Below are 16705 nucleotides of genomic sequence, written 5' to 3'. Positions count from 1 at the left end.
GCTATATACCAACAACTGGGATAACCTAGATAAAATGGACAAATTCCTAGAAACACAAAAGGCTTCTAGAACTACCAAGACTGAATTGCAAAGAAACAAAAAAGAGCTGAATAGAGCAATAACTAGTAAGGAGATTGAATTGGTAATTAAAAACCTCCTGACAAAGAAAAGCTTTAGACTCAATGGCTTCATTGATGAATTCTACCAAACAATTAAAGAACTAACACCAATCCTCCTCAAACTCTTCCAAAAAACTGAAGAGGAACATCTTCTAACTCATTCTATGAGGTCCTATTGCCCTAATACCAAAATCAAAGATACAACAAGAAAACTATAGACCAATATACCCTATGAATAGACACGAAAACCCTCAATAAAATACTAGCAAACTGAATTCTACCGAATATTAAAAGGATTATAATGGTGATCAAGTGGGATTTATTCCTGCAACGCAAGGATGTTTCAACATACTAAAATCAATGTGACACACCACATAAGAGAATAAAGAGGGAAAAAAAACATGATCATCTAAATTAGTACTGAAAAAGGATTTGACAAAATACAACACCCTTTATGATAAAAACACTCAACCAAACTAGGAAAAGAAGGAAACTACTTCATCATAATAAATACTATATATAAAAATTCCACAGCTAACTTCATATTCAATGATCAAAGACTGAAAGCCTTTCCACTAAGATCAGGGATGAGATACGGATGACCACTTTCACCACTTCTATTCAACACTGTAATGGAAGCTCTAGCTAGAGCAATTAGACAAGAAAAAGAAATAAAGGCATCCAAATTAGAAAAAAAGGAGTATAAATATCTGTTTTAAGATGACATGATGTCTTTTGTCCCCTAGAATCCTTTCATGAGCAAGCATGATCTTACACGTAGAAAACTCTTAAAGATTCTACAAAAGAAATGGTAGAACTAATAAATTTAGTAAAGTAGCAAAATACAAAATCAACACACAAACCAGCTGCAATTCTATACATTAACAATGAACAATATGAAACAAGAAAATTCAATTTACAATGGAATCAAAGAGAATACAGATGCTACTTGACTTACGATGGGGTTAAATCCCTATAAACCCACCATAAATTGAAAATATCCTAAGTCAAAAATGCACTTAATACACCTAACGTACCAAACATCACAGCTTAGCCTATCCTATCTTAAACGTGCTCAGAACACTTACATTAGTCTAGTTCAGCAAAACCATCTAATACAAAGCTATTTTAAAATAAAGTGTTGACTACCTCATGTAATTAATTCAACACTTTCACAACACTGTAAAGTCGAAAAATCGTAAGTCAAACCACTGTAAGTTGGGTATCGTCTGAACTTAGAAAATGAAACAAGGAGGTGAAGGTGAAAAGCTTGCACACTAAAAACTAAAAAACACTGATGAAAGAATAAAGACATAAACAAATGGAAAGATGTTTTATATTAATAGATTCAAGATCATGTTATTAAGATATCAATACTGCACAAAGGGATCTACAAACTCAATGCAATCTCTACTAAATCCCAATGGTATTTTTGCAGAAATAGAAAAGGTCACCCTAAAACTCGTATGAAATCTCAAGGGACTCCAAATAGCCAAAATAATCTTGAAAAAGAACAAAGTTGAAGGACTCACACCTGATTTCAAAATTTACTATAATGCTACAGTAATCAAAACAGTGTGGTACTGGCATAAAGACAGACATAAAGACCAGTGGAATAGAATAGAGAACCCGCAAATAAACCCTCACATATGGTCAAATGATTTTCAAAAAGGATGCTAAGACCATTCAATGCGGGACAGTCTTTTCAACAAATGATGCTGGTAAAATGGTATATCTACCTGGAAAAGAATAAAGTTGGATGTTTATCTAACACCATATACAAAAATTAAATCACAATAGATCAAAGATTTAAACCCAACTGCTAAAACTATAAACTCTTAGAAAACATACAGCAAAAGCTTCAAGATGTTGGATTTGGCAATAATTTCTTAGTCACAACACCAAAAGCACCATCAACAACAACAACAAAAAAAACTACATTTTATCAAAATTAAAAACTTCTGTGCATCAAACGGCACTATCAACAGAGTAAAACAGCAACCCCAAATGAAAGATAATAACTGCAGATCACGGCCGGGCGCCATGCTCATGCCTGTAATCCCAACGCTTTGGGAGGTCGAGGTGGGTGGATTACCTGAGGTCAGGAGTTCAAGATCAGACTGACCAACATAGTGAAACCCAATCTCTATTATATACAAAAAATTAGCCGGGTTGGTGGTGCATGCCTGTAATCCCAGCTACTTGGGAGGCTGAGGCAGTAGAATCACTTGAACCCGGGAAGCGGAGATTGCAGTGAGCCATGATCGCACCATTGCACTCCAGCCTGGGCAACAAGGGCGAAACCCCGTCTCAATTAAAAAAAAAAAAAAACGGCAGATCATATATTTGATACAAGATTAATATCCAGAATATATTTAAAAACTCAACAAAAACATAACCCAATTTAAAAATGGGCAAAGGACTTGAATAGACATTGCACCAAAGAAGATAAACCAATGTTCAATAAGCCTATGAAAAGATGCTCAACATCACTAATCATTAGGAAATGCAAGTCAAAACCACAATGAGATGCCATTTCACATCCATTCAAATGGCTATTAAGAAACAGAACAGCAAGCACTAGCATGGGTGTGGAAAACTGGAACACTTGTGCACTGTTCTTGGGAATGTAAAATAGTACAGCTGCTATGGAAAACAGTATGGCGTTTGCTCAGAAAATTAAATATAGAATTGCCATCTGATCCAAGAATTCCACTTTTAGACATATAATCAAAAAAACTTAAAGCAGGAACTCAGATATCCGTACACCAATGTTCATAGAAGCATTATTCACAATAGTCAAAAGGTGGAAGCAACCTGAATGTCCACCTGTGGGAGAATAAACTAAAAGGTGGTACATACATACAATAGAATATTATTCAGCATTAAAAAAGAAGGAAATCCTGTCACATGCTACAACAGAGATGAACCTTGAAGACATTAGGTAAGGGAAATAAACCAATCACAAAAGGACCAATCTACTAATGAGTCCATTGGTATGAAGTACGTAAAGTAGTCAAATTCAGAGACATAGAGTAGAATGGTAGTTAGTTGCTAGGGGTTGCAGGGAGGGTCAAGAGGAGGGTGTCACTGTGTAATGAGTACAGAGTTTCAGTTTGAGAAGATGAAAACATCCGGGCCGGGCGTGGTGGCTCACGCCTGTAATCCCAACACTTTGGGAGGCCGAGGCGGGTGGATCATGAGGTCAGGAGATCGAGACCATCCTAACACGGTGAAACCCCGTCTCTACTAAAAATACAAAAAAAAATTAGCCGGGCATGGTGGCGGCGCCTGTAGTCCCAGCTACTAGGGAGGCTGAGGCAGGAGAATGGCATGAACCCGGGAGGCGGAGCTTGCAGTGAGCCAAGATCACGCCACTGCACTCCAGCCTGGGTGACAGAGCGAGACTCCATCTCAAAAAAGAAAAAAAAAAAGAAAAGAAAACATCCTAAAGAAGGATGGTGGTGATGGCTGTACAGCAATAATGTCTATTTATTTAATGCCACTAACCTATATACTTTAAAAGGGTTAAAGTGGTAAATTCTATGTTAAGTATGTTTTACAAATTTCAAACAATTTCAAAAAATTTATGTACAATTTCAAAATATTCAAATACTGAAAAAAATGCATATATCTTTCAAATAATTCCAGGAGTCAGATTTTATTAATTCAAGCTAACCACTAACTTTTTAAATCATGCAAGTACTGATTTTTCAATATGGTAAAGCTAAAGGAGTTTTACTCAAAATGGCAACATTTAAAATCTACCTTTAGAAAACAGATGGGCATTTCTCCCATAAACTAATGTTATCTTTTCCTAGGAGGGAAAAAAGAATCTCTCCAATTAAATCCCAAGTCCTATATCTGTTATTCAGGCAACAGGAATGCAGGAAAAAATTACTTTAAACTGAATACTCAGGTAACTGAAAAAAATGTGTCATGTTTTTAAAAAATCAGGAACCAGATTTTTAAAAACATTCCCAATATGGGCTCTACTGTCTTAATTTAAAAGATATCATAGAATCTAGCACTCATATTCAGACCAATTTAATACTAATACTGATTACAAATGTTCACAGTCTTTTAAACTCAATTTTGTTTACTGTTTTAAAGAAACTTGTTGCTTAAGTAAATAAATATTTTAAGAGCATGGACTTTAAACAGGGGGTAAACTTTACTTTTTAAACTGAGTCCTTATTAACACCAATCACTGAGTTCATCAGAACACCCCATTTTGATGACTCTGGCCAATCAACTACACATTAAAATTTTTTTTAAACTAGCAAATGATTTTTGGAATAAAAATGATTATGTACAATCAACAACTGAACTCCTTTAAGAAATAAACAGGCATCTCTATCAAAAGAAAATCTTTAAGGATCTATTACTTTTTTAAAAGAATGGAACTTAAGGATTTAATTTTGGACATACGAAACTTGAGATGGTCATGGACAAGTGAAAATGTCAAATAGGAAACTAGACATAAGACTCATACATCAGGGCTAAAAATAAGCATTGGGAGTCTTGGGCATATAGACAATAGTAAAGGGACAAAATGTAAAATGAAAACAGCAAACTCAGCCCCAAGGAACAGAAACACTTACTACTGTTGCAAATGAATGGCCCCCAAATCATCCTGTAGATATAAAGTTTTTAAACAATTTGGGCAACATTTAAAAATTTAGTATTTCAAAAAGAAATGAATTTCAGCTTCCCCTGAAAAATCCATTCTACTTTCAAGAATTTAGTCTAAGAAAAAAAAAATGAGAAAAATATACAAATAAGGATGTTCATCCCAACACAATCAAAAGAGTGAATATATGGCAGGGGAATAATATAGAAGCCTACAGAGGTGGCCTGTCCCTACAATACTGTAGCCATTAAAAAGGTGGAACACTGTACAATAAATGTTCACAATGTATTGTTGTGGGTAGGAAAAATGTAGTTCTAGTTTTGTTATTAAATATTCTGTAGATAGACATCGGTGAGGCTGGCCAGGCGCAGTGGCTCACGCCTGTAATCCCAGCGCTTTGGGAGGCCGAGGAGGGTAGATTACCTGAGGTCCAGAGTTCGAGACCAGCCTGGCCAACATGGTGAAACTCCATCTCTACTAAAAATATAAATATCAGCCAGGCATGGTGGCAGGCGCCTGTAATCCCAGCTACTCGGGAGGCTGAGGTACGAGAATCACTTGAACCTGGAGGCGGAGGTTGCAGTGAACCGAGATCACACCACTGCACTTCAGCCTGGGGGGTAGAGTGAGACTCAATGTCCCAAAAAAAAAAAAAAAAAAGATGTTTGTGAGGTTACAGAGCAAGGGGAATATTTACACATTGTTGCTGAGAATGTAAATTAGTTTAGCCACTGTGCACAGCAGTTTGGAGATTTCTCAAAGAACTTAAAACAGAACTACCATTTGACCCAGCAATTCCATTATTGGGTATATACCCAAAGGAAAATAAACTAATCTACCAAAAAGACACATGTACGTTTTATCATAACACTAGTCATGATAGCAAAGACACAGAATCAACCTAGATATCCAACAACAGTGGAATGGATAAAGAAAACGTGATGCATATACACCATGGAACACTACACAGTCATAAAAAGAACAAAATCATGTCCTTTGCAGCAACACGGAGGCAGCTGGAGGCCATCATTCTAAGCGAATTAACACAGGAACAGAAACCAAATCCCACTGTTCTCGTTTATCAGTGAGAGCTAAACATTGAGTGTATATAGACACAAAGTTGAGAACAACAAACACTGGAGACTACTAGAGGGAGGAGCGTAAGAGGTGGGTAAAGATTGAAAAACTATCACCTACTGTGCTTATTATTTGGGTGACATGAATATTCACACACAAAACCCCAGTGACACGCAATTTACTCATGTAACAAACATACACACATACCCCTGAACCAAAAATAAAAGTCAAAGAAAAAAATTCTGTAGATATTGTGTTCACAGATAAAAGACTAGCAGCATATACTCAAGTTATTTAAAATAATAACTTAAAGGCAATTTAAAAAATTATTTTCCTTTTTTCTAAAATACACACCACTGTCGTGGTACGAAAAAAAGTTACTACAAAACAAGAACTAATGGATGCTTTTAAGGTTAAGAAGAAAAACATCCTGAATGCCAGAAAACTTTAAACATTACTGAAATGTTGCTTCTACTTTACTATCTTGTGCAATTTCCAGTTACTCTTTCTTCACAACCTGACTGAGAAGGTTTACTGCAAGCCAAGTGAGAAAACCTACATCCCAGCCCCAAACCTGTCACTAAACTAGCTGTATAACCTTTGGCACCTGACAATTTCTAAGTAAAAGTGACTTTTTATAACAGGAAAATCCAATTATATGCATTATATGTACCACATGAGGCCAGAATAAAATACCACACATTTGCAAATATTTTGAAGAAAGGGGTCCAAAAGACAGTATTACTACAATACTAACACACACATTTTCAATCATGGTATAGAACACATTAACATTTATGATGTGAATATTTATGATCTGAAAACAAAATGAGTAATCAGTTGGCTGAATGGAGAAAGAAAGGTTTTCTAGGGCCCTGCTGCATAGTAACAACAGCAATACACTTCACACATAACTTTTTAAATTCTTACAACCTCTTTATAAGACAGGCATTATTATTATCCCCATTTTAAATCTGAAAAATAACTGAAGACTAGGCAGTAAATATCACCCCGCCAAGGTCGCAGATGCTAAATACTGGAGCCAAGACAACTCAGGTCTGTGGTATTCCAGAACAGCACTCCAACCGCTGTATTCTGCTGCCTTCATGAGGGGGTGAGAAGCTAAAGCCCTGCCTTGGTTTTCGGAGCAGCTAGTCTGAGGCGCAATGCAGCAGCCTTGCCCAGGGACTGTAGATCCAGGGCTCTCCCCAAGGTAAGGAGTCTGGCTGCTACTTGCCCAGCCCTACCACAGAAATCCTCATCTCACTGCTGCCAAAGGAGCGTTGACTATAAACCCTAGAGACATAAAGAAATCCACCACCGCTCTCACAGCCTGGTTCTTTCCCTCCTTCCCCCTTCCATCCTCAATAGCCATGCCAGAGGTGTTACAATCTTTCAAGCTTCAAGTGCTGCCACCTCCTATTTGCTCATACTTTGGAATGTAGATCTTCCTAGATCCAGTATACCTATCCTTTCACAATTTAAATTTCACACATGCCTTAAAACATAAAGCTTGTCTTTAGCAAGTATACTCATATTTGCAACCATTTAGAAAAACTGTTTTTATTTTACTTTTTAACTTACAACTTTAACTTTGCATTTTAAAAATAATTTCAAACTTAGTGAAAAGTTACAAGAACAGTATAGAGAATGCCTGCCTATTACCTAGATTCATCAATTTTTAACATTTTTCATTAACTTTCATTCTCTCTCTTCTCACTCTCATGGATATGTTTATGTGTATATGTACTACACATCTATATAAACATAGATAAATAAATGTATTATTCTGAACCGCTTGTGGGTAAGTTGCATATATCACGCCCTTTACACCTCAATATTTAAAGTCGAAATTTCCTAAGAAGAATATTCTCTAATATAAAGATAACCACTGCACAGTTATCAAATTCAATAAATATAACATTGCCGCAGTACTTTAAAGCGCAGGCCATAATTGCAATTTTGTAACTTATCCCAATAATGTTCTTTAGGGCATTTTTTACCCTCTTCAGTAACAGGATCAATTCAGGATTATATATCACATTTAGTTGTCAGTCTCTTTAGTCTCCTGTAATCTAGAGCAGTTTCTTGGCCTCTCTCTTTTGTGACACTGACATTTTCAAGAATATAAGCCAGTCATTATACAGAATATTCCTCAGTTTAGGATTGTTCCAGCCAAAATACTACACAAGTGATTCTCGATCCTTCTTAGGGTAACATAGCTCTAACATTCCATGGTTCTAATATCTATAAAGCACTTCTAAAAATGTAATATGTAATATTAATTGAAGATTATAATTTCTGCTAAGCAAAGATTAGTATGTTTTACAACTCAAGGGACATCACAGTAAGTGCAATGGATTTACTGACAGGATGCTTTATTGTCTGTGGGGCTTCTGACTACAGAGAGAAACACTGATTTTCTGTGCTTTTTTAAAGTTTGTTTCATTAAATGTTTACATGTAATTTACAAATAAACACTGTTAGGTATCTAGACAACAATTCATATTCCTTTGGGTTCAACTACGAGAATAAAAGATGAAACAGAAAATACACTAGAATCATTAGAAACAATTCAGAGCAAAGAAGCCTATGACTACTGCTTCTTCTCCCCCACAGGCATAAACACAGTTTATGTCAACCACACACTGCTTAGAGACTATGCTAATAGTTATGGGCAATTTAACAAAAAAAAATTTAGAATGAAAGAGTGGAAGAAAATGAAAATAACAAAGAAAAGATGAAAGAGTGACTGGAGTTAACCAACCCTGGAACCACCCTACTGTACTTCTCATTATATGAGATGGTAAAATCTTTCCTGTTTTGATTAGCCTCTGTTACTTGCAGCAGAAAGTATCCTGATACATACATGCTGATAATTTAAGAGCTGATTATAATCTGTTCCCAAAAGGACAAGGAGATTATACATCATTCAAAAATGTTTTAGGTAGGTCATTTTCATGTCAAATCATAAATATTCTTTCTCTGCTCTGTCATTTCATCTTATATTTTCTATTCTAGCCATAAAAACTGTACTAATAACATATCTAAAGTGTCAAGAAGACCAAAATCATCTAAGTCAAAATGCCAGATGATACAGAAAGCTAGAAATAGAAAGCAAAGATACCTTACAAATAAATACAGACCATACAAAAAAAAAAAAACCAAACACATATATGGCCTTAAAAATGAAACTTCTCATACAGTTCTGAAGTTGACTGTTTCTGATATCCTATAGGTAACTCAGTATGGCAGTCTTTATAAGAAATGATGATGTGTGAGTTAAGTCCTCAAAAACTGCTGAACAGCAGTGCTGGGTGACAGAAGACAGCATTCAAAGAAGAGCAAGCAATTCTCGTAAGATACACAGATCATAATCACATGAAAAAAGACAAATAAATGACTGTAACAAAGACAAGGCAGGAGACAGTGGAAGAGTAACTTGTTGATTTGGCTTCCTAAAATCAAAAGCACCTTATAAGACTGCTTCAAAAAGGCTCTCACATCCAGCCAACCAATCAAAATCCAATTATCTGTTTCAGACAGGTTCTGCTAGCCTCAGGAGATAGGCTTTTTCTTACTGTAATAACAAGCCCCATGGCCACAGCTCTCAATGGTGTACCCATCGACCGAAAGAAAACCAAATATAACATTACTTTACAGATATCCGGTACCCAAAAGATGTCCCTCATCATCAACTGTCAGTAAAAAAGTGGAAGGCACATGATGGGTGTATATATATATATATTTATTTTAGTATATACCTAAGACTAAATCTCTCTGCAAAGGGCTTACTGAAAACAGAGTATTCCAAAAACCAGATCCCAAAGGAGCTACACTGTTAATACTATGCTTAATTGCCTCTTATTAATTTTTAGTAGGCAGTAGAAAGTACTGGTAAGATGAGTCTTAACTCTGATGCTAAAAGAAGCCAATATTTAAGATGCATTATAATATGTTACCTCATTGACTTAATTTCCATTTGTCTTCTCAAAACTAAGGAAGAAACAGAAGAAATTTTAAAGGACAGAGTGATTACAGCAAGATCAAGATGCAGTCCTATACAAATGCTAACAATTAACTATTGACAAAAAAAACCCAGTCATCAATATTGTAATTTTGTCTAACCTATTCGCAGATATTATAAAATGGATACACATTTCCTAGAAAATATTTTCTCATTTTATCTTTTCTAAAATAATTTTAATAAAGTCTTTACTTTGTATACACGTAAAATACCTATTATTTATTTTTAAGTATCTCAATTTTCTCAGCTGTTTGTTCTCTAAATTCAATCTATAATTTTAAACATTGAGATCTAATTTTTTTTTAAGAACTAGTCTGACTGTGGCTTGATATATGGGAACCACTAAATCTAATTGTGTTCCCCAGCGAAATTTTCTTATTTTTAAGTCAACACAGTTTTTATTTTTAAGTAGTATAACACAGAAGAGTCCATTTTGAATCCAAGTTCCACTAAATAGCTATTAGTGATCTTGACCAAGTCACTTACTTGCTCAGCCACAGTTTCTTCATTTTTAAAATGAGGCAAAAACCATACTTCACAGGCCATGTGAATGTTGATGTAAATAAGAGACTGTATCAAATCACCTATAGTACAACGTGTAGTATACACAGGTCTTCCATAAAAGTTCACTAATAAATGGTCCCTCAGTCATTCTGTTTGGTTTGTCTGGTTGGTTCAAATTTCACAGAGAAGTGGCATACGGTAGTGGTTAACATGGTTAACAGGACAGGGTCTGCAGCATGCCCGCCTGCATTCAAACCTCAGCTCCACCTCTTACTACATGGGTTGCCTTGAGAAGTTACTCAATTTCTCTAAGCTTCAGATGCCAAATCTTTAAAATACTGGACTAATAATAAAGCTCATAAACTTGTAAAGATTAAGAGATAACACATATGAAGTATTTGGCCTAGTAATCTGCACATGTGCTCAATGTTGGCCATTATTATTACCGTTACTTAATATTAAAAACTGTAAAATAATGCAATACCCATTACTTAAGTGATAATCATTACTTAATATTAAAAACTGTAAAATAATGAGTATAAAAATACTCACAACACATGCACTCAAGTTGCTGTTAAGTCTGCATAAAAGACAAATACCAGAAACTCAGCTTATCAGCCTACTGCAAAGGCCTCAGCCAGAGCTACCTCACTAGCCTAACTGGCTATATCCAACCACATTCTCAACTACTCAACTTAAGATACCCTACAGGTATCTCAAAACCCAACATTTTCTTAAACCAAACACACCAAGCCTGTTCCTTTTCTGTACCAGCCACTGTTCACCTTTACCCTAAGCATTGCAACAGCCCCCTAACTGGTCTCAGCAGGCACTTTTATTTCCCTCCAGTGCAATTTCCTCATTTTCATTACAGCAACCTTTTAACGTGCCAATATAATCATGTCACTTATCACTGTTCTTAAAAGCCCAAGCCTTTAACATGGCCTGTAAGGCTCTGCCTTATCCTGTCACTCCTCTACTCATGGAACTCCTCATTCCATGCCACACTTCCTCTTGCCCAGCAAGCTTCTTGACACAAGCTGTTATGTACTTAGAAAGCTCCTAACTCCTTTCTGTTTCAGGGCTTTCATACATACTACCACCTTGCTCTCTCTCAGTAGCTCTTATCCCAAGCCCTTCTCCTTACTGACAGTCCTACCCATCCTTTGTGTCTCAGTATTACCATTATTTCCTCAAGGAAATGTTCCCTAACATCCAAACTATGTTAGGATTTCTAATGCACTTTCCTAACAGACTGTACTTCTCTCTTATGGCATTTACCTCAACTGTAATTACTTCCTTATACAATTAAATGTTTGATTTCTTTTCCCCCAACCAAACTGTAACCAAGGGAGAAGATCAAGTCTGTTGTATTTACTCCTATAACCTCAGCTGCTACCATAGTTGCTTAACAAATGAAAGCAAAAGTCAAAGTATGAGATTTCACAATCCCAGGCTATTGGACATTCTCTAAGAACCAATTTTTTGGAGTTATAAGTTATTGTTGGGCTTGGCGCGGTGACTCACGCCTGTGATCCCAGCACTTTGGGACGGTGAGGTGAGGGATCACTTGAGCTCAGAAGTTCAAGACCAGCCTGAGCAACATAGTGAGACCTCATCTCCAAAAAAAAAGAAGTTATTCTTCACTGAACTGCAGAAGGGAAGGTAACTTAATATTTATTAAATATCTTCTACATTTATCAGTAGCTGTGTTAGACCTTAATATATATTATCTCATGTAACAGTAACAATAACCCTGTGAGGTAGATGGCATCTGTTCCACTTTCTAAATGAAGCAACTGCGAGTAAAAACAATCAGTACTCACCCAAAGTCACACTAGGAGGCAGAGTTGAAATTTTGGCCCTAATATCATGTCTTTTTCCATAACAGTACATTATCACCACCGGAACTATTTAAATAGTGGTTAAAAATGCCACTGATGTGATAAAACCTTCAAGGAGCCATCTAACCCCAATTTCATGAGTTTATGGTACTTTTCAGTAGTAGAATATTAAAACAATTTCTACTAAGTTGTGTATGGCTGCACAAGGGAAACTAGAGCATGTGGAAGGACCACTACATGTCAATACGTTCCCCGTTAAAAGGCAATTTATCTGATGCTACCATGGGCTGTCAAAATACAAATGCCTTGAGCACTTATCAGCTAATTTAAGAGTTCTGACCTCCTCAAAGGTCTCCATTTCCCAATCCCTCCTGCTCTGCTATCAACGCTGATAACCTTTCCCTGCCTTCCAGGGATATACTGTAGTTGCAAGCATTTGCAAAGGAACTTGAGCTTCTTACTTCCCACTACTACTCCTGCTTCAAGGTACCTTTAAAAAAAGAGAAATAAATGACTCCTCTCAATCTCAATTATTAAAGACTTAGAGGAATCACAATTGCTAGATTACCCACAGGGATGGCCCTAGGAGGGGTGGGTGCGGGGACTGTTAAAGTGTGTATTGTTTAGATTGAGGTTCTCTCAGTTCCTACTGCCGTTTACTATTGTTGCATAAAACAATAATAACTAGATAGTTCAATAAATGGATCAATAAAACTCACTGATCTAATGCAGTGGTTCTCAATTTAAAAGAACACCGGATTCAACTGAGGAACTAAAACATATACTCTGCATGCACAAACTTGCCCTAGCCCCACAATAAAACCAGCAAATCATAATTGAGACTAATATCCAAGCAAGAGTACTTTTTAAAAGCTCCACAGATTACGATGATGTACGTCTTTAGTTCACAGCCTCTGTTTTATTATATTACAATATTACACTCTTTATTCAAACACTGATTGGCTATGTACAAGAGTGAAGTAGCAAAATCATACAAATGAATCAAGTCCTGATTGCATTATATCTACGCACTGCAATTTATACACACATTTATGGCCTTCATTTCCATAGAGAAATCTCTCTCTCCCGTTTCCTTGAATTACATGGCTTTCTTGGTCTTTTCCTTTTTTTTTTTTCACTTGCTAAAGAAGAATATGAGAAGAATTTTATATTCTTCACATTTCTGAAGGAAAAATAGTTTCAACACACCAAAGTAGGGAGAACATACATTCTGGTTTACCTGAGACAGGTGTAACTATTAAGTAAGACCCCTCACTGTCAAAAGTATCCAGGTTTGATAGCAGTTTATTAGAAGTACACCACTGTTTTCCTTTATTTATTTTTTAAAGACAGGGTTTCCACTCAGTTACCCAGATTGGAACGCAGTAGCACAATCATAGTTCAACCTCCTAGGCTCAAGGAACCCTCTCATCTCAGCTCCTCTCCTTTGCCCTGACTCTGCTAATTTTTAAAAAAAGTTTTTTGAAGAAATGGGGTCTCACTGTGTTGTTCAGGGTGGTGTCTTCAATTCTATATGATTTTTAAATTGAGTTTAAATATGGTATGTGAATGGTATTCATATACCGCAAAACTCACCTTTTAAAAGTGAATAATTCAGTGTTTTGTTTGTTTTTTTGAGACAGAGTCTCACTCTGTCATCCAGACTGGAGTGAGTGGTGTGATCTCGGCTTACTGCAAGCTCCGCCTCCCGGGTTCATGCCATTCTCCTGCCTCAGCCTCTCAAGTAGCTGGGTCTACAGACGCCCACCACCGCGCCCAGCTAATTTTTTTGTAGTTTTTAGTAGAAACAGGGTTTCACCCTGTTAGCCAGGATAGTCTCGATCTCCTGACCTCATGATCCACCCATCTCGGCCTCCCAAAGTGCTAGGATTACAGGTGTGAGCCACTGCCCCCGGCCCGGTGTTTTTCTAAAAATCGTATTCACAAAGCAGTGCAACTATTACCACTATCTAATTATAGAACATTTTTATCATCCCAAAAAGAAATTTGATACTCATTAGCAGGCATTCCCCACTCCTTCCTCTCCCTAGTCCCCAGCAAATACTCATCTACTTTCTGTCTCTATGGAATTTGCCTATTCTGGAAATATACAATTATACAATCTGTAGCTTTCTGTGTCTGGCTTCTCTCACTTAACATGATGTTTTCAAGGTTCATCTGGGTTATAACATTAATCAGTACTTCATCCTTTTTTGGCTGAATAATATTGTACTGTATGGATACACCACATTTCATTTACCCATTCATCAGGTGATAGACATCTGAGTTGATTCCACTTTGACTATTATAAATAATGCTGCTATGAATAACGGTGTACAAGTTTTTGTGCAGACATATACTTTCAATTCTACCAGATATATCGCTAGGAGCAGAACTGCTGGGTCATATGGTAACAACATTTAACTTTTGGAGGAACTGCCAGACTACTCTCTAAGGAGTCTGAAGCATTTCACATTACCACCAGCAAAGTATGAGGATACTAATTTCTCCACATTCTCTCCAACACTTATTTTCTGTCTTTTTTTATTATGCCATCATGGTGGGTGTGAAGTGGTATCTTGCTGTGGTTTTAATTCTGCATTTCCCTAACAACTATAACATTAAGCATCTTTTCATGTGCCTATTGGTCATTTATTTATCTTCTTCGGAGAAAATCCTTTTTGAAGTTGGGTTACTGTCTTTTCATTGTTGCGATGTAAGAGTTCATATATTCTGGATACTAACACTTACAAATATATGATCTGTAAATACCTTCTCCCACTCATCAAGTTTTGTTTTGTTTTGTTTTTGAGACAGAGTCTCGTTCTGTCATCCAGGCTGGAGTCCAGTGGCACATTCTCAGCTCACTGCAACCTCCACCTCCCAGGTTCAAGTGATGCTCCTGTCTCAGCCTCCTGAGTAGCTGGGATTACAAGTCCCTGCCATCACGCCTGGCTAATTTCTGTATTTTTAGTAGGGATGGGGTTTCACCATGTTGGCCAAGTTGGTCTCGAACTCCTGACCTCAAGTGATCCACCCACCTCGGCCTCCCGAAGTGCTGGGATTATAGGCATGAGCCAACGCACCCGGCCTCATTTCCTTGATAGTGTCCCTAGAAGCAAAATGTTTTTAATTTTGCTGAAGTCCAATTTACCTATTTCCTCTTTGGTTATTTCTACTTCTGATGTTATTTCTAAGAAACCATTGCCAAATTCAGGATCATGAAGACTTAGCCTATATAGTTTTAGCTCTTACATTAAGTACTTGATCCACTTTGAGCCAATTCTTGTATATAGTGTTAGAGGTCTGAACACCATTTGTTAAAAAGGCTATTTCCCTCCATTGAACTGTCTTGGCATCATTGTGAAAAAAAATAATAATTAAAAAAAATCAATTGGCCATAAATGCATGGGTTTATTTCTAGACTCTTAATTCTGTCCCATTGATCTGTTTATCCTTATGCCAGTAACATACTGTCTAGGTTACAGTAGCTTTGTAGTAAATTCTCAAATTCAAAAGTGGGAGGCCTCCAACTTTATCCTTTTTAAAGATTGTTTTGGCTATTCTAAGTATCTTCAATTTCCGTATGAGTTTTAGGATCAGTTTGTCAATTTCGGGGGGGGGTGGGGGGGGGGGGGGGCGGGGGAGACCAGCTGGACTTTGATAGGAATTGTGTTAAATATGTTGATTAATTTGGGATGACTATAATCTTAACAAGATTAAATCTGCCAATCAATAAAGATGGTACCGTCTTTGCATTTATTTAGGTCTTCTTTAATTTCTGTCAATGATACTTTGTAGTTTTCAGTGTACAGGTGCTCTGTGTCTTTTGTGAAATTTATTCCTAAGAACTGTATTATTTTGATAATACTATAAATATAATTTTCATAATTTCATTTTTGGATTGTTCACTGCCAGTGCTCTATACGATTCTTGATTTCAAATGCTTCCAGTAATATAAAAGATGGTTAATTTAAAATTTTTACTGTATTTAAATATGATACCCTGGGTCCTCTAAATAGTATCCACTAGAATGAAAAAAAATTGATCTAAGTAAGAAACCCAAGTGGCTGTCTACTTTGCTAAAAGATGGTGAAAAACCAGAATCAAGAAATGCCAATTAATTTTAATCCCAGTTTTAATATAAGACAAGGCAACTACATTCCACACACAAAAATGATGCCATATATTTTCTTATAAAATATATAAATAAAAACCCACTCATACTGTATACTCTCTTTGTCAAGCTTGAGGAGAATTATTCTATAATTTGTAACACAATGGCAGATTCTTTACCCTTATGGAATTATTTTCTAATTACTTTTAATATAAGATAATTTTTCTTTGTTCCCACTAAACTAAGATGTTTTAATTAATGTTTACAATTAAATCCAGGCAAAATTCAAATTCTAAATTAGCCTGAGACTATCATAAGCTATTATTTTATGGAAAATGACTAAGGTATTCCATTTGAGCCTCAATTGTACATGCTATATTATCA

The 16705-nt window shown here is 36.3% G+C and overlaps 1 protein-coding gene across 82 annotated transcripts in view, besides 1 other annotated feature; it reads right to left on the bottom strand.

The window, feature by feature from the left end:
- MEF2A (myocyte enhancer factor 2A) overlaps positions 1-16705 on the bottom strand; it is a 151072-nt gene that overhangs the window by 90233 nt on the left and 44134 nt on the right. For 5 of the 82 annotated variants that reach the window (XM_011521582.3, XM_047432522.1, XM_047432525.1 and 2 more), the window contains one exon: positions 5176-5392. The exons of 66 other annotated variants lie outside the window; for them this stretch is intronic. The gene's annotated coding sequence lies outside the window, so the exon portion shown is untranslated. Of the gene's footprint in view, positions 1-5175; positions 5393-9791; positions 9826-16705 lie in introns of those variants that run through there. 11 more of the 82 variants (NM_001400064.1, NM_001352615.4, NM_001171894.5 and 8 more) reach the window with 4 other exon arrangements.
- Positions 11053-11102: an enhancer, noted in NCBI's record as "active region_10161". NCBI's record gives its function as "activates an Ori minimal core promoter by ATAC-STARR-seq in GM12878 lymphoblastoid cells {active_cell/tissue: GM12878}" and the evidence as "EXISTENCE:reporter gene assay evidence [ECO:0000049][PMID:35858748]".

This window comes from Homo sapiens, chromosome 15 (assembly GCF_000001405.40).
Source record: "Homo sapiens chromosome 15, GRCh38.p14 Primary Assembly".
NCBI lineage: Eukaryota > Metazoa > Chordata > Mammalia > Primates > Hominidae > Homo > Homo sapiens.
The sequence above is the reverse complement of the archived record's forward strand: the minus strand, read 5'-3'. Positions and strand labels throughout refer to the sequence as shown.